The 23,430-nt window shown below is 42.9% G+C and overlaps 1 protein-coding gene across 1 annotated transcript in view; it reads right to left on the bottom strand.

Annotated features, from left to right (window-relative positions):
• Positions 1-10,226: 10,226 nt before the first annotated feature.
• ANKRD62 (ankyrin repeat domain 62) overlaps positions 10,227-23,430 on the bottom strand; it is an 87,842-nt gene continuing 74,638 nt past the window's right edge. Inside the window, exons 19-20 of the transcript XR_001753188.2 lie at positions 11,196-12,363; positions 10,227-10,263 (exon numbers count right to left, since the gene is read on the bottom strand). The gene's annotated coding sequence lies outside the window, so the exon portion shown is untranslated. The remainder of the gene's footprint in view (positions 10,264-11,195; positions 12,364-23,430) is intronic.

Raw genomic sequence — 23,430 nt, 5'->3', positions numbered from 1 at the left:
ATATACCCACCCCAATATGTGCAATCACAGTACACATGGTTTTTGGGGAAATTTCCCCATCACTCCAGGGTGATACGGAAAGAAAAAATGTGCCTGGACCCTCCCTCTTTGTGGGTCTTGTGAAAACATCAGCGATTTTAACGTCTGGATGTGTCAGCACCAAAACGGGGATTTGGTGATGAGAAAGCAAGGACAGGCCATCTGCAGTGGCCCACCCCAGGACAGAAGTTTACAGACACCTCCTGGAACCAAACTCCCGCCTGCAGGTTGCCTCGATGCAGGTGGTGGCTGTGAGCAGGGGCAGTGTGACACCCAGTGAGTAGATGCACTCCTTCTGTTTTCCTGTTTGTGAAGCTGAGGCCTGCTGGACAGATGGCTGGCGAACTGACAGCAAACCCCATGCAGTTTGCACCTCAGCTGGCCCTGCCTCAGCCAGCTCTGTATTTACTACACTAGGAATAGCCTGGCTGATTTTCTGTATCCATGACGGGAGGCAATGGGAACCAACAGCCCAGCTGGAGAGTTGGTGCTGGCAAAACAGTCCTTCCCCTGGGGGCCGGTTCTTACCCAGGTCCAGAGAAACTAATGTAGGATGTCAGACTTCACCAAAAGGCCCTTCCGGTTGGCTCTGGCTGGGCTTCCCAGAGGCGTTCCTCTCTAGTTCCTCAGGGACGTGTGAGAACCTGGCTAGGGAAGAGGAACAGGGGCTGTTCTCCTGTCAGCGCCTACTCAGCCCCTCACCCGGACTTTATGACTGAGGGGTCTGAGTGCAGCTGCAGCTGGGCCTGCGTCCCTCACTCTTTCCACCTTCTGCACATTCTTTGTGAAACTGGAAGGAGCTCACAGACCTCATCCAGAACACGGTGGAAGAGAACTTGCCTAGGAAACAGTTCACGTCTCACTTTTCAGGATGTGGAAATGCTGGGACCCACAGACCCTACATTGGTTGGTGCTGGGGCCATGTGGCCTCCACTGGGCACTTGCCGATCTGAGTATGGGGTCAGGGGGGCCCAGGCTGCCCTGCACTCCCACCTCCCAGCCCACAGCAAGGTGCTTTCATCACAGCGAAACCTGGTTCCCTGCAAACCTCCTAGCCACTCGGGCCTGTTAGCTGTCTGAGCCCCAGATCAGGTTGGGCGAAAGCAGGCAGCACCTCATCACAGTGACTCCCAGAACACGGCCATCCACAGGCATCTTTCCTTGTTGAGTTTTGCAAATGATACTGTAATGACTTCAAAATGAAAAGTAGCACATTAAAGTGATTTTATTGTTTCCTAAAAAAAAAAGAAAAGAAAAAGAAATTACCATGGGCTGGAAATAGGGGGAAAGGAAGTATATTGCTTACTGTCTTCAAGGTTTCGTTAGAAATAATCAAAATTTCAGGTGTAGATAGTAGTGTTGGTTATGCAACACTGTGAATATATTGAATGCCACTGAGTGCACACATTGGTTAAAAGGTTCAAATAAATATTGTGTTATGTATATTTTCCCAGAATAGAAAACATGCACAGCCAAGCCCAGATGCCAATCTTGCTAGGTGCTTTCCTTTACCTTCAAGAGCTGGCCAAGGCTCATCCAATCCCTCAAGGCAGCTGGGAAGTCTAAGACTGAAGTCTGCACTGGAAGAGAAATTAATGGAAGGAGGAGAAAACTTAAGAGTCCATACTACTCGCTCCCCAGGGCCAACAACTCTCTCTCCTGCACTTTATTGATCCAGCTCAGTATCTCCTGTGACCACCTCCTTTTTTCAACTGAAGACTTTGCACCTGAAGAGACTCCCAGGTCTTTCACCCTGGCCCTTGTCAGGGCTGATCCTCTCAGCTACTGCCCATTTGACCTCCATTCATGTCCATGCCACATCAGGCTGTGTTGTCTAGGTGGAATGAATCCACTGTGAGACAGGAGCCATTGGTGCTCCCCCAAATGTCCCTTTCTGGAGGAAGCCACCATTATGCTGTACCTCCAACATGTCCACACACACCGAGGCATCTCATTCACGCAAGGTGTGTGTCCTCCGACGAAGTTTCACACTCTAAACCCAGATAACTTTTGAAACCCAAGTTTTGTTGATTCCCCTTACTTAAGTTGTTCATTTGTCTACAAAACACTGCCCCAATTAAACTGCCAAAAATGTTTTGCAGAATTTGTATGTTAATTCTGACATTGTTATTACAAGTGTTTTTCTCCCGGAAAATTTATGTCTTTGTTACTGATAAAAGTATATAACTACTAACGCTGTTTTCAGCTATGTTGCCAAGCACATTTATATAAAAATATATTCTTAATTATTCTGAGAATCTGACAAAGACAATAACAACAATAATAATCTCATTTGCTTTATACTAATCTTTATATGTGTTACTTTATTCATTTCTTACATGCTAGGGCTTACCATACAGTGTACCAATTTCATACACTGTATGAAATTGGTACTATGCAGCACGGTAGAAATGTACATTGGCACAGCTAATTTAGAAGATAGCTTTCTTGTTTCTTAAAAAAAATTAAATTTGAACTTACCATTTGGTCCAGCAAATCCACACCCAGGAATGCTCCAAGTGAACTGAAAGCATATTCTCCAAAGTCATTTGTACAGACATGTGTCTCTTAACGACAGTGATGTGTTCTGAGAAATGCATCGTTAAGTGATGTAGTAATTACGCAGACATCATAGAGTGCACTTACATAAACCTGGATGGCATAGCCCCCTATACACCTAGGCTGTATGATACAGCCAATTGCTCTGGGCTTCAAACTGTACAACATGTAACTGTACTGAATACTGCAGGCAAAGGTAACAAAACGGTAAGCATTTATATATCTAAAATCTAAATATAGAAAAGCTACAATAAAATATGGTATAAAATATAAAAATTAGTACATCTGTATAGGGCACTTTACCATGAACAGAGCTTAAAGGACTGGACGTTGCTCTGGATGATTCGGTGAGTGAATGGTGAGTGAATGTGAAGGCCTAGGACCTTACTGTACACTACTATAGACTTTATGAACATTGTATCTTTAGACTACCCTAAATTTATAGAAATCTATTTTTATTTACTCAACAATTAACCTTAGCCTACTGTAACATTTAAAATTTATAAACTTAAACAATTTTAAAAACAACTATTTTGTAATACCACTTACCTTAAAACATAAACATATTGTACAGCTGTGCAAATTTTTAAAATATTATTCTATATTTTTTCTATTTTAAAATTTAAGTTTTAAATTTTAAACTTTTTTTGTTAACAGCTGAGGCTCAGACACACACATCAGCCTAGACCTACACAGGATTAGGATCATCAATGTCACTGCCTTCTGAATCCACATCTTGTCCCACTGGAAGGGGCAGAAACACACATGGTGCTGTCATCTCTTACGATAACAACACCTTCTAGCATACATCCTCAAAGGCCTACTTGAGGCTGTTTTACAGGTAAGTGGTTTGTTTTAATACGCAGATAGAATATATTCTCAAATAATTATAGAAAGTATAGCACAGTAAATACATAAACCAGGAACATAGTCATTTATTTTCACTACCAAGTATTATATACTGCACATAGTTGTATGTTCTATACAGTACTTTAACATAACTGGAAAACCAGTAGATTCCTTTCCATCGGCATCATCACTGATGCCTGTCTAATGTGTTACGCTACACACTTGTGACAGCTACAAGACACTAGGTGATAGGAATTTTTAAACTCTATCATAATCTTATGGGACTGCCATCATACATGCTATCCATCATTGACCAAAATGTTATTATACATTACATGACTGTATTATGAATGCTCAAAGCAGCATTATTCATAATACAAAAAACAGAAATAATTAAATGTCCATCAACTGATGAATGAATAAACACTGTTTATATATCCACACAATGGACTATGAAGCAATGAAAAGGAAAACACATGACCGGCACAAGCTAAAGCATCAATTAACTTCAAAAATAGTAACTAAATGATTAAAGTCAGACCTCAATATAATATATTGTATGATTCCATTTCTATTACACAGATGGGAAATTTATACAGACAGAATATCAGAGCAGTATTGCTTAGGGCTGGAGATGGGAGTAGGGATTGAAATGGGCAAGAGAGAACTTCAGTGAGAGTAACTTTTTTTTTTTATTATACTTTAAGTTTTAGGGTACATGTGCACAATGTGCAGGTTAGTTACATATGTATACATGTGCCATGCTGGTGTGCTGCACCCATTAACTCGTCATTTAGCATTAGGTATATCTCCTAATGCTATCCCTCCCCCCTCCCCCCACCCCACCACAGTCCCCAGAGTGTGATGTTCCCCTTCCTGTGTCCATGTGTTCTCATTGTTCAATTCCCATCTATGAGTGAGAACATGCGGTGTTTGGTTTTTTGTCCTTGCGATAGTTTACTGAGAATGATGATTTCCAATTTCATCCATGTCCCTACAAAGGACATGAACTCAACGTTTTTTATGGCTGCATAGTATTCCATGGTGTATATTTGCCACATTTTCTTAATCCAGTCTATCCTTGTTGAACATTTGGGTTGGTTCCAAATCTTTGCTATTGTGAATAGTGCCACAATAAACATACGTGTGCATGTGTCTTTATAGCAGCATGATTTATAGTCCTTTGGGTATACACCCAGTAATGGGATGGCTGGGTCAAATGGTATTTCTAGTTCTAGATCCTTGAGGAATCGCCACACTGACTTCCACAATGGTTGAACTAGTTTACAGTCCCACCAACAGTGTAAAAGTGTTCCTATTTCTCCACATCCTCTCCAGCACCTGTTGTTTCCTGACTTTTTAATGATGTCCATTCTAACTGTTGTGAGATGGTATCTCATTGTGGTTTTGACTTGCATTTCTCTGATGGCCAGTGATGATGAGCATTTTTTCATGTGTCTTTTGGCTGCATAAATGTCTTCTTTTGAGAAGTGTCTGTTCATATCCTTTGCTCACTTTTTGATGTGGTTGTTTGTTTTTTTCTTGTAAATTTGTTTGAGTTCATTGTAGATTCTGGATATTAGCCCTTTGTCAGGTGAGTAGGTTGCGAAAATTTTCTCCCATTCTGTAGGTGGCCTGTTCACTCTGATGGTAGTTTCTTTTGCTGTGCAGAAGCTCTTTAGTTTAATTAGATCCCATTTGTCAATTTTGTCTTTTGTTGCCATTGCTTTTGGTGTTTTAGACATGAAGTCCTTGCCCATGCCTATGTCCTGAATAGTAACGCCTAGGTTTTCTTCTAGGGTTTTTATGGTTTTAGATCTAACGTTTAAGTCTTTAATCCATCTTGAATTAATTTTTGTATAAGGCGTAAGGAAGGGATCCAGTTTCAGCTTTCTACATATGGCTAGCCGGTTTTCCCAGCACCATTTATTAAATAGGGAATCCTTTCCCCACTGCTTGTTTTTCTCAGGTTTGTCAAAGATCAGATAGTTGCAGATATGTGGCGTTATTTCTGAGGGCTCTGTTCTGTTCCATTGATCTATATCTCTGTTTTGGTACCAGTACCATGCTGTTTTGGTTACTGTAGCCTTGTAGTATAGTTTGAAGTCAGGTAGCATGATGCCTCCAGCTTTGTTCTTTTGGCTTAAGATTGACTTGGCGATGTGGGTTCTTTTTTGGTTCCATATGAACTTTAAAGTAGTTTTTTCCAATTCTGTGAAGAAAGTCACTGGTAGCTTGATGGGGATGGCATTGAATCTATAAATTACTTTGGACAGTATGGCCATTTTCACGATATTGATTCTTCCTACCCATGAGCATGGAATGTTCTTCCATTTGTTTGTATCCTCTTTAATTCATTGGGCAGTGGTTTGTAGTTCTCCTTGAAGAGGCCCTTCACGTCCCTTGTAAGTTGGATTCCTAAGTATTTTATTCTCTTTGAAGCAATTGTGAATGGGAGTTCACTCATGATTTGGCTCTCTGTTTGTTATTGGTGTATAAGAATGTGATTTTTGTACACTGATTTTGTATCCTGAGACTTTGCTGAAGTTGCTTATCAGCTTAAGGAGATTTTGGGCTGAGACAATGGGGTTTTCTAGATATACAATCATGTCGTCTGCAAACAGGGACAATTTGACTTCCTCTTTTCCTAATTGAATACCCTTTATTTCCTTCTCCTGCCTAATTGCCCTGGCCAGAACTTCCAACACTATGTTGAATAAGAGTGGTAAGAGAGGGCATCCCTGTCTTGTGCCAGTTTTCAAAGGGAATGCTTCCAGTTTTTGCCCATTCAGTATGATATTGGCTGTGGGTTTGTCATACATAGCTCTTATTATTTTGAGATACGTCCCATCAATACCTAATTTATTGAGAGTTTTTAGCATGAAAGGTTGTTGAATTTTGTCAAAGGCCTTTTCTGCATCTATTGAGATAATTATGTGGTTTTTGTCTTTGGTTCTGTTTATATGCTGGATTACATTTATTGATTTACGTATATTGAACCAGCTTTGCATCCCAGGGATGAAGCCCACTTGATCATGGTGGATAAGCTTTTTGATGTGCTGCTGGATTTGGTTTGCCAGTATTTTATTGAGGATTTTTGCATCAATGTTCATCAACGATATTGGTCTAAAATTCTCTTTTTTTGTTGTGTCTCTGCCAGGCTTTGGTATCAGGATGATGCTGGCCTCATAAAATGAGTTAGGGAGGATTCCCTCTTTTTCTATTGATTGGAATAGTTTCAGAAGGAATGGTACCAGTTCCTCCTTGTACCTCTGGTAGAATTTGGCTGTGAATCCATCTGGTCCTGGACTCTTTTTGTTTGGTAAGGTACTGATTATTGCCACAATTTCAGATCCTGTTATTGGTCACTTCAGAGATTCAGCTTCTTCCTGGTTTAGTCTTGGGAGAGTGTACGTGTCGAGGAATTTATCCATTTCTTCTAGATTTTCTAGTTTATTTGCGTAGAGGTGTTTGTAGTATTCTCTGACGGTAGTTTGTATTTCTGTGGGATCGGTGGTGATATCCCCTTTATCATTTTTTATTGCATCTATTTGATTCTTCTCTCTTTTTTTCTTTATTAGTCTTGCTAGCGGTCTATCAATTTTGTTGATCTTTTCAAAAAACCAGCTCCTGGATTCATTAATTTTTTAAAGGGTTTTTTTTGTCTCTATTTCCTTCAGTTCTTCTCTGATTTTATTTCTTGCCTTCTGCTAGCTTTTGAATGTGTTTGCTCTTGCTTCTCTAGTTCTTTTAATTGTGATGTTAGGGTGTCAATTTTAGATCTTTCCTGCTTTCTCTTGTGGGAATTTAGTGCTATAAATTTCCCTCTACACACTGCTTTGAATGTGTCCCAGAGATTCTGGTATGTTGTGTCTTTGTTCTCGTTGGTTTCAAAGAACATCTTTATTTCTGTCTTCATTTCGTTATGTACCCAGTAGTCACTCAGGAGCAGGTTGTTCAGTTTCCATGTAGTTGAGCGGTTTTGAGTGAGTTTTTTAAACCTGAGTTCTAGTTTGTTTGCACTGTGGTCTGAGAGACAGTTTGTTATAATTTCTGTTCTTTTACATTTGCTGAGGAGAGCTTTACTTCCAACTATGTGGTCAATTTTGGAATAGGTGTGGTGTGGTGCTGAAAAGAATGTATATTCTGTTGATTTGGGGTGGAGAGTTCTGTAGATGTCTATTAGGTCTGCTTGGTGCAGAGCTGGGTTCAATTCCTGCATATCCTTGTTAACTTTCTGTCTCATTGATCTGTCTAATGTTGACAGTGGGGTGTTAAAGTCTCCCATTATTATTGTGTGGGAGTCTAAGTCTGTTTGTAGGTCACTCAGGACTTGCTTTATGAATCTGGGTGCTCCTGTATTGGGTGCATGTATATCTAGGATAGTTAGCTCTTGTTGTTGAATTGATCCCTTTACCATTATGTAATGGCCTTCTTTGTCTCTTTTGATCTTTGCTGGTTTAAAGTCTGTTTTATCAGAGACTAGGATTGCAACCCCTGCCTTTTTTTGTTTTCCGTTTGCTTGGTAGATCTTCCTCCATCCTTTTATTTTGAGCCTATGTGTGTCTCTGCACGTGAGATGGGTTTCCTGAATACAACACACTGATGGGTCTTGACTCTTTATCCAATTTGCCAGTCTGTGTCTTTTAATTGGAGCATTTAGTCCATTTACATTTAAAGTTAATATTGTTATGTGTGAATTTGATCCTGTCATTATGATGTTAGCTGGTTATTTTGCTCGTTAGTTGATGCAGTTTCTTCCTAGTCGCGATGGTCTTTACATTTTGGCATGATTTTGCAGCGGCTGGTACCGGTTGTTCATTTCCATGTTTAGTGCTTCCTTCAGGAGCTCTTTTAGGGCAGGCCTGGTGGTGACAAAATCTCTCAGCATTTGCTTGTCTGTAAAGTATTTTATTTCTCCTTCACTTATGAAACTTAGTTTGGCTGGATATGAAATTCTGGATTGAAAAATCTTTTCTTTAAGAAGCTTGAATATTGGCCCCCAATCTCTTCTGGCTTGTAGAGTTTCTGCCGAGAGATCAGCTGTTAGTCTGATGGGCTTCCCTTTGTGGGTAACCCGACCTTTCTCTCTGGCTGCCCTTAACATTCTTTCCTTCATTTCAACTTTGGTGAATCTGACGATTATGCATCTTGGTGTTGCTCTTCTCAAGGAGTATCTTTGTGGCATTCTCTGTATTTCCTGAATCTGAATGTTGGCCTGCCTTGCTAGGTTGGGGAAGTTCTCCTGGATAATATCCTGCAGAGTGTTTTCCAACTTGGTTCCATTCTCCCCGTCACTTTCAGGTACACCAATCAGACGTAGATTTGGTCTTTTCACATAGTCCCTATATTTCTTGAAGGCTTTGTTCGTTTCTTTTTATTCTTTTTTCTCTAAACTTCCCTTCTCGCTTCATTTCATTCATTTCATCTTCCATCACTGAAACCCTTTCTTCCAGTTGATCGCATCGGCTCCTGAGGCTTCTGCATTCTTCACGTAGTTCTCGAGCCTTGGCTTTCAGCTCCATCAGCTCCTTTAAGCACTTCTCTGTATTGGTTATTCTAGTTATACATTCGTCTAAATTTTTTTCAAAGTTTTCAACTTCTTTGCCTTTGGTTTGAATTTCCTCCTGTAGCTCGGAGTAGTTTGATCATCTGAAGCCTTCTTCTCTCACCTCGTCAAAGTCATCCTCCGTCCAGCTTTGTTCCGTTGCTGGTGAGGAACTGCGTTCCTTTGGAGGAGGAGAGGCGCTCTGCTTTTTAGAGTTTCCAGTTTTTCTGCTCTGTTTTTCCCCATCTTTGTGGTTTTGTCTACTTTTGGTCTTTGATGATGGTGACGTACAGATGGGTTTTTGGTGTGGATGTCCTTTCTGTTTGTTAGTTTTCCTTCTAACAGACAGGACCCTCAGCTGCAGGTCTGTTGGAGTTTGCTAGAGGTCCACTCCAGACCCTGTTTGCCTGGGTATCAGTGGCGGTGTCTGCAGAACAGCGGATTTTCGTGAACCGCGAATGCTGCTGTCTGATCGTTCCTCTGGAAGTTTTGTCTCTGAGGAGTACCCGGCCGTGTGAGATGTCAGCCTGCCCCTACTGGGGGGTGCCTCCCAGTTAGGCTGCTCGGGGGTCAGGGGTCAGGGACCCACTTGAGGAGGCAGTCTGCCTGTTCTCAGATCTCCAGCTGTGTGCTGGGAGAACCACTGCTCTCTTCAAAGCTGTCAGACAGGGACATTTAAGTCTGCAGAAGTTACTGCTGTCTTTTTGTTTGTCTGTGCCCTGCCCCCAGAGGTGGAGCCTACAGAGGCAGGCAGGCATCCTTGAGTTGTGGTGGGCTGCACCCAGTTTGAGCTTCCTGGCTGCTTTACCTAAGCAAGCCTGGGCAATGGCGGGCGCCCCTCCCCCAGCCTTGCTGCCGCCTTGCAGTTTGATCTCAGGCTGCTGTGCTAGCAATCAGCGAAACTCCGTGGGCATAGGACCCTCCGAGCCATGTGCGGGATATAATCTCCTGGTGTGCCGTTTCCTAAGCCCGTCAGAAAAGCACAGTATTTGGGTGGGAGTGACCCGATTTTCCAGGTGCCGTCTGTCACTCCTTTCCTTGACCAGGAAAGGGAACTCCCTGACCCCTTGTGCTTCCCGAGTGAGGCAATGACTCACCCTGCTTTGGCTCGCACACGGTGTGCTGCACCCACTGTCCTGCGCCCACTGTCTGGCACTCCCTAGTGAGATGAACCTGGTACCTCAGATGGAAATGCAGAAATCCCCCGTCTTCTGTGTCGCTCATGCTGGGAGCTGTAGACCAGAGCTGTTCCTATTCGGCCATCTTGGCTTCTCCCCCAGAGAAACAAACATTTTTAAGTTAGATCATGGTGATGGCTACACACAGTGTCAATTTAATAAATCATCAATTGTGTACCTTTATAGTTGGGTGAACTTTATGATAGGTTCACACCCAATATGGTGTTATAAATAAATTAATGTTATGGAAATTCTTATCTGGTTTTTAAGCAGCCAAGATACATGCTGTTTAAGCAACATTAATTCAGATGGTTGCAATAAGTCATTTAAAGTTTATAAGGTAGTTGTCCTGTAAATATATGGTGAATGTTATTCCATGAATTTCCGTATCTATTGCAATAATCATATTTTTCCTCTATTAACCTCTTATGGTGGCTAATTTATTTATTGCATTTTCAATGTTAATCTACCATATCATATTTTGAAATCATATTGGTCACAATTTATGGTATTTTTATTCATCACATACTTCAATTTACCTTATCTGATTTTAGTTTCAAAGCTATGCTGCCATTTTATTTAATTGCACAGTATAGAATTTTCTAATTTATAGAAAATTATTATGTCCTCCTTGAATTTTTTTTTAGAACTTAATTCTAGGAATTTATATGAGGTACAGTCCATAAATAATTGTTTTACACCACATGTTCTCACTCATAGGTGGGAATTGAACAATAAGAACACATGGACACAGGAAGGGGAACATCACACACTGGGGCCTGTTGTGAGGTGGGGGGGGAGGGATAGCATTAGGAGATATACCTAATGTTAAATGACGAGTTAATGGGTGCAGCACACCAACATGGCACATGTATATATATGTAACAAACCTGCACGTTGTGCACATGTACACTAAAACTTAAAGTATAAAAAAAAAAGAATTGTTTTAATTTCTCATACATGTCTTCAATGGGTATAGAATTGGTCATATTTTTCTGCTCAGATTTCAACAAGAAACTTACCTCTTACCCCATTGGCAGGTAGGCAGACGTGACTTTTCCCATTTTCTAAATGGAGACTATGTGGGCAAATGCAGGTAAGTTCTTGGGGTATGTGAAGGGACCTCTCTTGCTCTCAAAAGACAACCTAAGAAGAAGGGCAGTGCCACAGCAGAACTGCTATCGATGCCACCTCAGTTAGATTCCAGAACAGACATACACCTGTAGACAACTGAGGTGTAGGAAAACAGTGGAGCACCCAGCACCCAGCAGAGAAAGCAACGCCTGGGGACAGGGAGGCACTGATTGTGGCAAGGGGAAAAAACAGCTGCCAGAAGGCTGTTCACACAAGGGTCTCAGGCTGCACAGACATCCACACCTGCTGAGGGGTTCTGGTTTTCATAAAGGATGTGGCTCAGCCAGGCCACCAACAAGCAGTTAATAAACAATAACATGACACTTTCCAAAGACCTTACATGAGTAACGCAGTGATCCTCACAAATTTCCTAACAGGATGGTAGTACAATTCCTCCTGAACAGGGTGAGGAAACTGACCCACAAGGTCATGGAGCCTGCTTGTGGTCACATGGGGTGGGTGCAAAGCTGGACATTGAACCTTCCGCCGGGACTGAGTGCTGTCCTCTGAGCTCTGTCTACTGAGTGCCTCTGTCCTGTCTGCTGACCACAGGTCAGAGGTGCAGACTGCAACGGGGAGTAGAAATGTCACCTTCTCAATGTTGGGAAAACTCCCTGACAGAACTGCCCATGGCCCTTTCTAAGCAGTGGGCAAGCTCAGACCAAAGAAGGAGGCAGACCATGTCAGGCTGCCAGACTGCCAAACATTCATTCAAGGAGAACCCACATCCTGGGCCATCCTGGGTGGTGGCAAGATAAGCTAGATCACTGCTTTTGCAACGCATCCCTGTCCAGCCTTTCCTATCATGAAAAGAAAAGGGAACAGGGAAAAAAAGAAACAAAAGTCACTGTTGGGCTCGCTAACTCATCTGGCTACTTTCTTAATCTGTTTGCTTTCTGCTTGAAAAGGTTGTTTGGGTATCCTACAATCTGGTCGACATTTCTAAAGTAAGGACAGTGTTCCAGGCAGCAGCAGTTAGCTTGGTCAGGTCACTGTTTTAGGCGAAGATTTGCAGGTGTATCTGCCACTGTAGTGAAGGGCTGCTTTGGGCAGTGTCTGTGGAGAAATGTTTTAAAGGACATAGTTAAACCAACACTTGAACACCAATTGTTTTGTCCTACCCCTCTGTCACAGGGGAGGGGGCTGTGCTCTTGGCAAAGGTCATCTCTCTGTCATGATTCTGGAGCTCCTTTTGTTCTCCTGATTATCTGTCACTCAGTTATCCCCACTCTCTCCCACAATTTTAACCTCGGCTTCTCTATTCTAGGAGACTCTTCTCTCAGGCTCAAGGCTCTCCTGCCCTCCACCGTTCCTCCCTCCACCCCATACACCCTTCCAGCATGTGTCCCAGCTGATCTATCCTTTAGCCAAACTTCCTCAGAAAGAGGCCTCACCCTGCTGTCCCTGCCCATCTCCTCTCTGATTCACTCCTCAACTCCATGTCTGATTGCCAGTTTCTTTTCCTTGCCTGTTGTGACTTCCTGTGGATGTGGCCAAAAACCACACAGTCCTCCTGTTGTGCAGCGTCCCCTCAATCTTGAGATGTCCTCTCCCTCGGTTCCTATGTCACCACACATGCCTGGCTTGGCTCCTCCCTCTAGTTCTTCCTTTCCTGTCTCCTGTGGACTCCTTGTTGTCTGCCCTCGCCACTTCAGTGTCCTCACAGGGGCTTCCTTCCCTTCTCAGCTGACACCATCACCTGGGGATCACACTCACCTGGCAGCCTGGGGCCTCTCTATCTCTATGCTGGTCATGCCCACGTCTGAGCTGCAGACCCAAAGGCATTTCCACTTGTGCATCCCATGCCCAGCACACACTTCTCCAGTCTCAAACGCAGCTGTTCAGCCCCACCTCACCCCTTAGACAAGTTCCTCCCTGTGGATCTTCTTTTTCATTGATTAGTACTGAGTTGCCCAAATCAGCAACTTGGAAGTGATCTAGACTCCTCACACATCCAGTCCATCACTCATCAAGTCTATTGATTCTGTCTGCTAAATATACCTCGATTATATTTACTTACATATATGCATATGTCTCCTTCTTCACTGCATTTCATATTGTGGGCCACATTTACCCTTCAGGTAACAACAACACTGGCCATTCTTGCCCTTCCAGTCAGAAGTGCCAAAACAACTGTTCTAAGATGCAAATCTGATCACATTACTCCTCTGGGTGAAACTTTGCAATGGTTTCCCGTTGATCTTAGAATACTGTCTGGCCTCCCGTGTTCAGAGGTCCCGGTCACCAGCCCTCTGCAGACTTTTCACTCACACTCCATGCTCTGGTGGTGGGGATCACTTCAGTTCCTGGAGTTCCCCTTCTCTTTCCCACTGCTCCCCTCAATATGCTATCTGCCTTTCTTGGAACACCTGTCCCTCTTCCTTCCTCACCTCTCCAGGTAATTGGGTTTGTCTTTCAGGTCTTGCCTTACATGTCACTTTCTCCAGGAAGCTCTCCTGGCCTCTCAAATTTGGGTAAAAAGTGTCCCCTGGATGGACTTTCATGCCCGTTCTAATGCTTCTTATGCTCTTCTTATGCTTCTTCTTATGCTTCTTATGTGGATCTTTCTATTGGCACATCTCTGTCTCACAGTGCAATGAAATTTCTGTGGCAGCAAGGTCAGGCTTTCTTGTCTCTCATGAAAGCACATTCCTGCCTATATCCCCAGCACCTACCAGTGTCTGGCTCCGAGGATGAACTTTCATGCCCGTTCTAATGCTTCTTATGCTCTTCTTATGCTTCTTCTTATGCTTCTTATGTGGATCTTTCTATTGGCACATCTCTGTCTCACAGTGCAATGAAATTTCTGTGGCAGCAAGGTCAGGCTTTCTTGTCTCTCATGAAAGCACATTCCTGCCTATATCCCCAGCACCTACCAGTGTCTGGCTCCCAGGATGAACTCAATACATTTTGGTGGACAGAAGAAATGAAGGGATAGGGGGAAGAGAACAACCCGCCAAAGTCTAAGAGCCTATGGCTGGGCTACAGCAAAGTCTTGGCGTGTCCTACAATGTATGTCGCCACATTTGTGGAAACACACAACTGCCTCTTCTGTTCAAAGATGGCCCTACTTATGGGAAACAGATGGAATTTTCTCCCCATGTGCAGGTAAAGACACAAACACTGATGTCATAGCTGCCACCCTCTCCTCTCACTATTGCCCATGCCCAGCTGGTGCTGAAGGGACATCTTAAGCTCTTGTGACTCCATGGCCCCCAAAGCCGCGGAGCTCAGAGCTGCTCCTTGAGGAATGTCTTCCCCATTTCCTTCTCCCTGGCTCCTCTCCTTGCTGGTGTCCACTGGTGTCTCCTCCTGTGGCTTCTCGAACATCATCCTCTGTTCCTCACTGTTTCAAACTTTACTCTCCCCACAGAAGGTTCTTTTCCACATCTCTGTCACTGGATGCTCATGAGAAGGCTGATAGGGTGATTTTTTGTCAGGACAAATAAACTGTATGAAACCTACCTGAAGCACACTAGCACTCCTGAAATGAAGGTTAAATATTTTGTAGCCCTGTGGAGTCAGATTCATGGTAGGAATATGTACATGCATGTCCCATTTTTTGAGCTTTTTTCAGAAATTTAATGTTCCATATAAGCCAATGTTCCAGGTACCTGAGTTAAGCTCATAATGGCTGGACTCATTTTAACTATTTTAGTTAACATCCTTCACAAATCTTTACATCGTTTTCCTACCTTCTTAGACCATATGAAAACCTAATTATATTTTTTCATGACAATGAAGAGTCATCATAATAGCTATTATTAGATCCTGATATAAAGACGTCATGCTTTCAAAGTTTACAAAGGCAGGATAGACTAAATTATACAAGATCATTGTGCTTTTACAACCACAGGAAGATCAATCCTCACAGCACTATTTCTGCCCACTCTTCTCTAGATGGTCAAGTTTGTTTAAAATGTTGGTAAACACAAGAGTTATTGATTCACATGAATAAGTTGCAGTAGGCAAGGCCTTTTGCTCTCCTGACTCTGAAGTCAGAGGCTGTGTTAGCCACACCCTTCTGGGGGCTACTTCTCAACTATGCTCTTTGCAAGCTCTGGCTCGGAAAGTTGAACTTTACTGAACTTTCAAAAATGTAGCCACTATTTCTGCTATATTTTAAAGCTATAATAACAACGGAGTGTGCTCTGTTTTGTTTTTCAAAATTTCTGTGGGATAAAGTTGCATAGAGATTTTCAGGGTTCTATGTTTAATTTTAATTTTCAAACATAGATTTTAACTACTTTTTTACAATTATGATTAGAATGCACTCTCAAACATGTTACAGAAAGTTTAGTCCATTGAGAGATCTCTTGGCGGTTTACTCAATTTGGGTGCATGCTCTGGAGGACACCTTGTCCTGCCATTTAGGTTTAATTTAAAATCCTGTTTAATTTTTTTTCGTTTTTGAGAAGGAGTCTCACTCTGTCACCCAGGCTAGAGTGCAGTAGCACAGTCTCAGCTCACTGCAACCTCTGCCTCCCAGGTTCAAGTGATTCTTCTGCTTCAGTCTTCCGAGTAGCTGGGATTACAGGCATGCGCCACCATGCCCGGCCAATTTTTCTATTTTTAGTAGAGACAGGGTTTCACCATGTTGGCCTGGCTAGTCTTGAACTCCTGACCTCAAGTGATTCATCCACCTCGGCCTCCCAAAGTGCAGGGATTACAGGTGTGAGCCACCGTGCCTGGCCTAAAATCCTGTTTAATTTTTAATTAAAGAGCATCCTGAGATTGAAAAGTGAACTATTGGGGGAGAATACAATTTGAAACTCCCTCACTATGTGTGCCTAAGTTTCCTCCATGCAAGGCAAAAACAAATTCTATTTAGATGCTAATGAACTTCACTTGCTGCCCATTCCACTAATTTTAAGTCATCTTTTCAGGAAAATAAATTATTCTCACCATTTGACTTTACAATCTGAAAGTCCTGGGGCCCCAGCCTGGTCATGCCTGCTTGCAGGGCAGCCTTGGGTCATAGCTTCTGTGCTGGTGGACCCTGCCTGACTAGAAGAGGGCTCCAGCACAGGGAGGCCCCCATGGCAAAGCACCAGCCTGCATACTCCCTCCTCAAACTATAGCTTCCCTTGGGCCCACAGCAACTCCCCACATCGCTTGGCTGGAGCATGTCTGTGGGGACGGGTTTTGCTTTCCTTGTCCGACCCACATGCATGTGTGCATACACCCCACCCTGTCACTGCTGCAGCAAGAGTGCAGTCAGCCGCCCTCCCGCTGCTGACCACCATTTAGAAAAAGCCTTGGTGGGCACACAGCCAGCGAGCTCCACTCCCACCACCAGTGCCCTACCCTGCCCTTGTGACAACACTGCCGTGGGAGTGAAACTAGGTACAGAGAACAGCAGATCCTCTCCTGCCCTGAGTGACCACTACTGCTCATGCAATACAGAGAAGGCACAGACCTGAGCCCGCCAGTGCTCCCAAGGCAACACCATCACCAATGCAACCACATACACAGTCGCCAGCAGCAGCCCCCTACCCTTCCCTGAGCTGTGTTGCCTCTGCCACTGTGGTGAATGCCCACAGCGGGGCAGGCACACTGGCACCCAACAGCACCCTGCTGCAGTTGATGAGTGTGCACCCCACTATGCTGCTGCTACTGCTGCTGCTGGCACATGCAAATGAGAATCCTGCTGTCACTGCACTATAAAACTCTTTGGCTGGCACCACCCATTGGAGTGTAGTGACCAACGTTCTGCAAGCACCTTACACCCCCCAGAGCAGTGAATTCTTAACCTCAAGGAGCCAGAGAACAAAGTCTGGGCCCAATACAAATTCCCCAGAGTTAGCACAGGTAGTTCAGGAGTTGGGAGCTGAACATTGGGCCCATAAAATCTTCCAGAAATGAAGCCAGTGGGCTGAAACCACCTTATACCACACTCAAACCCTTAAGGTCATCAACTAGGATAAAAGAAGAAAATTCAAAGGTCAGCAACCTCAAAGATTGAAGGAAAGTAAGCCCACAAAGATGAGAAAACACCAGTGAAAGAACCACGGCAACTCAAAAAGTCAGAGTGCCTTCTTTCCTCCAAATGACCTCATTACCTCTCCAACAAGGGTTCTGAACTAGGCTGAAACAGCTGAAATGACAGAAGCAGAACTCAGACTATGGATAGAAATGAAAATCACTGAGCTACGGGAGTATGTTGAAACCTAATCCAAGGACTCTAGGGATCACAATAAAACAACGCACGAGCTGACAGACAAAATAGTCAGTATAGAAAAGAATGTAACTGACCTGATAGAGCTGAAAGGCACATTAAAAGAATTTCATAACGCAATCCCAAGTATTAATAGCAGAACAGACCAAGTGGAGGAAAGTATCTCATAGCTTGAAGACTGGCTTTCTGAAATAAAACAGTCAGACAAGAACAGAAAGAAAAACAAGAATAAAAAGGAATGAACAAAACCTCTGAGAAATATGGGATTACATAAAGAGACCAAATCTATGCCTCATTCGTGTCCCTGAAAGAGATGAAGAGAATGGAAGCAACTTGGAATACATATTTCAGGATATTATCCATGAGAACTTCCCCAACCTAGCTAGAGAAGCCAACATTCAAATATAGGAAATGTACAGAATGCCAGTAAGATACCCCATAGGAAGACCACCCCAAAGACACATAATTATCAGATACTCTCCAAGGTTGAAATGAAAGGAAAAATGTTAAAGGCAGCTAGAGAGAAAGGTCAGCTCACCTACAAAGGGAAATCCATCAGACTAATGACAGGCCTTTCAGCCAGAACCCCTACAAGCCAAAGAGATGTGAAGGCCAATATTCAACATTTTTAAAGAAAAGAATTTCCAACCCAGAATTTCATAACCAGCCAAACTAAGCTTCATAAATAAAGGAGAAATAAGATCCTTTTCAGATAAGCAAATGCTGTGAGAATTTGTCACCACCAGACCTGCCTTGCAAGAGCTCCTGATAAGAGCACTCAATATGAAAAGATTGTTACCAGCCACTACAAAAACACACTGACATACACAGGCCAGTGGCATTATAAAGCAACCACATAAACAAGTCTGCAAAATAACCAGCTAACATCATGACGACAGGATTAAATTCACACATATTAATACTAACCTTCAATATAAATGGGCTAAATGCCCTACTTAAAAGGCACAGAGTGGCAAGCTGGATAAAAAAGCAAGACCCATTGGCATGCTGCCTTCAAGAGACAGATTTCACATGCAATGACACACATAGGCTCAAAATAAAGGGATGGAGAAAAATCGACCAAGCAAATGGAAAACAGAAAAAAGCAAGGGTTGCAATCTGAGTTTCAGACAAAACAGACTTTAAGCCAACATAGATCAAAAAGGACAAAAAGACATTGTTGGCGGGAGGTTCCAAGATGGCTGAATAGGAACAGCTCCAGTCTACAGCTCCCAGCGTGAGCAATGCAGAAGACAGGTGATTTCTGCATTTCCAACTGAGGTACCGGGTTCATCTCACTGGGGCTTGTCGGACAGTGGGTGCAGCCCATGGAGCATGAACCAAAGCAGGGTGGGGCATTGGGTCACCCAGGAAGCACAAGCAGTCAGAGAATTCTCTTTCCTAGCCAAGGGAAGCCATGACAGATGGTACTTGGAAAACTGGGATACTCCCACCCTAATACTGCGCTTTTCCTATGGTCTTAGCAAATGGCACACCAGCAAATTATATCCCATGCATGGCTCAGAGGGTCCCACGCCCATGGAGCCTCACTCACTGCTAGCACAGCAGTCTGAGATCAAACTGCAAGGTGGCAGTGAGGTTGGGGGAGGGGAGTCTGCCATTGCTGAGGCTTGAGTGGGTAAATAAAGCCGCTGGGAAGTTTGACCTGGGTGGAGCCCACTGCAGCTCAAGGAGGCCTGCCTGCCTCTGTAGACTCCACCTCTGGGGACAGAGCATAGCTGAACAAAAGGCAGCAGAAACTTAAACATCCCTGTCTAACAGCTTTGAAGAGAGTAGTGGTTCTCCCAGCACGGATCTGAGAACGGACAGACTGCCTCCTCAAGTGGGTCCCTGACCCCCGAGTAGCCTAATTGAGAGGCACCTCCCAGTAGGGGCCGACTGACACCTCATATGGCAGGGTGGCCCTCTGAGATGAAGCTTCCAGAGGAAGGATCAGGAAGCAACATTGCTGTTCTGCAAGCCTCCACTAGTGATACCCAGGCAAACAGGGTCTGGAGTGGACCTCCAGCAAACTCCAACAGACCTGCAGCTGAGGGACCTGACTGTTAGAAGGAAAACCAACAAAGAGAAAGGACATCCACACCAAAACCCCATCTGTACATCACCATCATCGAACACCAAAGGTAGATAAAACCACAAAGATGGGGAGAAACCAGAGCAGAAAAGCTGAAAATTCTAAAAATCAGAGTGCCTCTTCTCCTCCAAAGGAACACAGCTCCTCGCCAGCAAGGGAACAAAGTTGGACGGAGAATGACTTTGACGAGTTGAGAGAAGAAGGCTTCAGATGATCAGTAATAAGAAACTTCTCTGAGCTAAAGGAGGATGTTCAAACCCATCCCAGAGAAGCTAAAAACCTTGAAAAAAGATTAGATGAATGGCTAACTAGAATAAACATCACAGAGAAGACCGTAAATGACCTGATGGAGCTGAAAACCATGGCATGAGAACCACGTGATACATGCACAAGCTTCAGTGGCCAATTCGATCAAGTGGAAGAAAGGGTATCAGTGATTGAAGATCAAATTAATGAAATGAAGCGAGAAGTTTAGAGAAAAAAGGGTAAAAAGAAATGAACAAAGCCTCCAAGAAATAAGGGACTATGTGAAAAGACCAAATCTACGTCTGAGTGGTGTACCTGAAAGTGACAGGGAGAATGGAACCAAGTTGGAAAACACTCTGCAGGATATTACCCAGGAGAACTTCCCCAACCTAGCAAGATAGGCCAACATTCAAATTCAGGAAATACAGAAAACATCACAAAGATACTCCTCGAGAAGAGCAACCCCAAGACACATAATTGTCAGATTCACCAAGGTTAAAATGAAGGAAAAAAGGCTGAGAGCAGCCAGAGAGAAAGGTTGGGTTGACCCACAAAGGGAAGCCCATCACACTAACAGCGGATCTCTCGGCAGAAACCCTACAAGCCAGAAGAGAGTGGGGGCCAATATTCAACGTTCTTGAAGAAAAGAATTTTCAACCCAGAATTTCATATCCAGCCAAACTAAGTTTCATAAGTGAAGGAGAAATAAAATCCTTTACAGAGAAGCAAATGCTGAGAGATTTTGTCACTACCAGGCCTGCCTTACAAGAGCTCCTGAAGGAAGCACTAAACATGGAAAGGAACAACCGGTACCAGCCACTGCAAAAACATGCCAAAGTAAAAAGACCATCGATGCTAGGAAGAAACTGCATCAACTAACGGGCAAAATAACCAGCTAACATCATAATGACAGGATCAAATTCACATATAACAATATTAACCTTAAATGTAAATGGGCTAAATGCTCCAATTAAAAGACACAGACTGGCAAATTGCATAAAGAATGAAGACCCATCAGTGTGCTGTATTCAGAAGACTCATCTCACGTGCAGAGACACACATACGCTCAAAATAAAGGGATGGAGGATGATCTACCAAGGAAATAGAAAGCAAAAAAAAAAAAAAAGCAGGGGTTGCAATCCTAGTCTCTGATAAAACAGACTTTAAACCAACAAAGATCAAAAGAGACAAAGAAGGCCATTACATAATGGTAAAGGGATCAATTCAACAAGAAGAGCTAACTATTCTAAATATATGTGCACCCAATACAAGAGCACCCAGATTCATAAGGCAAGTCCTTAGAGACCTACAAAGAGACTTAGACTCTCACACAATAATAATGGGAGACTTTAACACACCACTGTCAACTTTAGACAGATCAACGAGACAGAAGGTTAACAAGGATATCCAGGACTTGAACTCAGCTCTGCAACAAGGAGACCTAATAGACATCTACAGAACTCTCCACCCCAAATCAACAGAATATACATTCTTCTCAGCACCACATTGCACTTACTCCAAAATTGACCACATAGTTGGAAGTAAAACACTCCTCAGCAAATGCAAAAGCACAGAAATTATAACAAACTGTCTCTCAGACCACAGTGCAATAAAATTAGAACTCAGGATTAAGAAACTCACTCAAAACCACACAACTACATCGAAACTGAACAACCTGCTTCTGAATGACTACTGGATACATAACGAAATGAAGACAGAAATAAAGATGTTCTTTGAAACCAATGAGAACAAAGACACAACATACCAGAACCTCTGGGACACATTCAAAGCAGTGTGTAGAGGGAAATTTATGGCACTAAATGCCCACAAGAGAAAGCAGGAAAGATCTAAAATTGACACCCTAACATCACAATTAAAAGAACTAGAGAAGCAAGAACAAACACATTCAAAAGCTAGCAGAAGGCAAGAAATAACTAAGATCAGAGCAGAGCTGAAGGAGATAGAGATACAAAAAACCCTTCAAAAAATCAATGAATCCAGGAGCTAGTTTTTTGAAAAGACCAACAAAACTGATAGTCCTCTAGCAAGACTAATAAAGAAGAAAAGACAGAAGAATCAAATAGATGCAATAAAAAATGATAAAGGGGATATCACCACTGATCCCACAGAAATACAAACTACCATCAGAGAATACTATAAACACCTCTATGCAAATAAACTAGAAAATCTAGAAGAAATGGATAAATTCCTGGACACATACACCCTCCCAAGACTAAACCAGGAAGAAGTTGAATTGCTGAATAGACCAATAACAGGCTCTGAAACTGAGGCAATAATAGCCTACCAACCAAAAAAAGTCCAGGACCAGACGGATTCACAGCCGAATTCTACCAGAGGTACAAAAAGGATCTGGTACCCTTCCTTCTGAAACTACCCCTATCAATAGAAAAAGAGGGAATCCTCCCTAACTCATTTTATGAGACCAGCATCATCCTGATACCAAAGCCTGGCAGAGACACAACAAAAAAAGAGAATTTTAGACCAATATCTCTGTTGAACATTGATGCAAAAAATCCTCAAGAAAATACTGGCAAACAGAAACCAGCAGCACATCAAAAAGTTTATCCACCAAGATCAAGTTGGCTTCATCCCTGGGATGCAAGGCTGGTTCAACATACGCAAATCAATAAATGTAATCCATCACATAAACAGAACCAAAGACAAAAACCACATGATTATCTCAATAGATGCAGAAAAGGCCTTCAACAAAATTCAACAGCCCTTCATGCTAAAAACTCTCAATAAACTAGGTATTGATGGCACATATCTCAAAATAATAAGAGCTATCTATGATAAACCCACAGCCAATATCATACCGAAAGGGCAAAAACTGGAAACATTCCCTTTGAAAACGCACAAGACAGGGATGCCCTCTCTCACCATTCCTATTCAACATAGTGTTGGAAGTCCTGGCCAGGGCAATCAGGCAAGATAAAGAAATAAGAGATATTCAATTAGGAAAAGAGGAAGTCAAATTGTCCCTGTTTGCAGATGACATGATCGTATACTTAGAAAACCTCGTCGTCTCAGCCCAAAATCTCCTTAAGCTGATAAGCAACTTCAGCAAAGTCTCAGGATACAAAATCAATGTATAAAAATCACAGGCATTCTTATACACCAGTAACAGACAAACAGAGCCAAATCATGAGTGTACTTCCATTCACAGTTGCTTCAAAGAGAATAAAATACCTAGGAATCCAGTTTACAAGGGATGTGAAGGACCTCTTCAAGGAGAACTACAAACAACTGCTCAACGAAATAAAAGAGGACACAAACAAATGGAAGAACTTCCCACGCTCATGGTTAGGAAGAATCAATATCGTGAAAATGGCCATACTGCCCAAGGTAATTTATAGATTCAATGCCATCCCCATCAAGCTACCAATGACTTTCTTCACAGAATTGGAAAAAACTACTTTAAAGTCCACATGGAATGAAAGAAGAGCCTTCATTGCCAAGACAATCCTAAGCCTAAAGAACAAAGCTGAAGGCATCATGCTACCTGACTTCAAACTATACTACAAGGCTACAGTAATCAGAACAGCATGGTAATGGTACCAAAACAGAGATATAGATCAATGGA

The sequence above is a fragment of the Homo sapiens genome, chromosome 18, assembly GCF_000001405.40.
Source record: "Homo sapiens chromosome 18, GRCh38.p14 Primary Assembly".
Lineage (NCBI taxonomy): Eukaryota > Metazoa > Chordata > Mammalia > Primates > Hominidae > Homo > Homo sapiens.
This window is presented reverse-complemented; position numbering and strand designations above follow the sequence as displayed.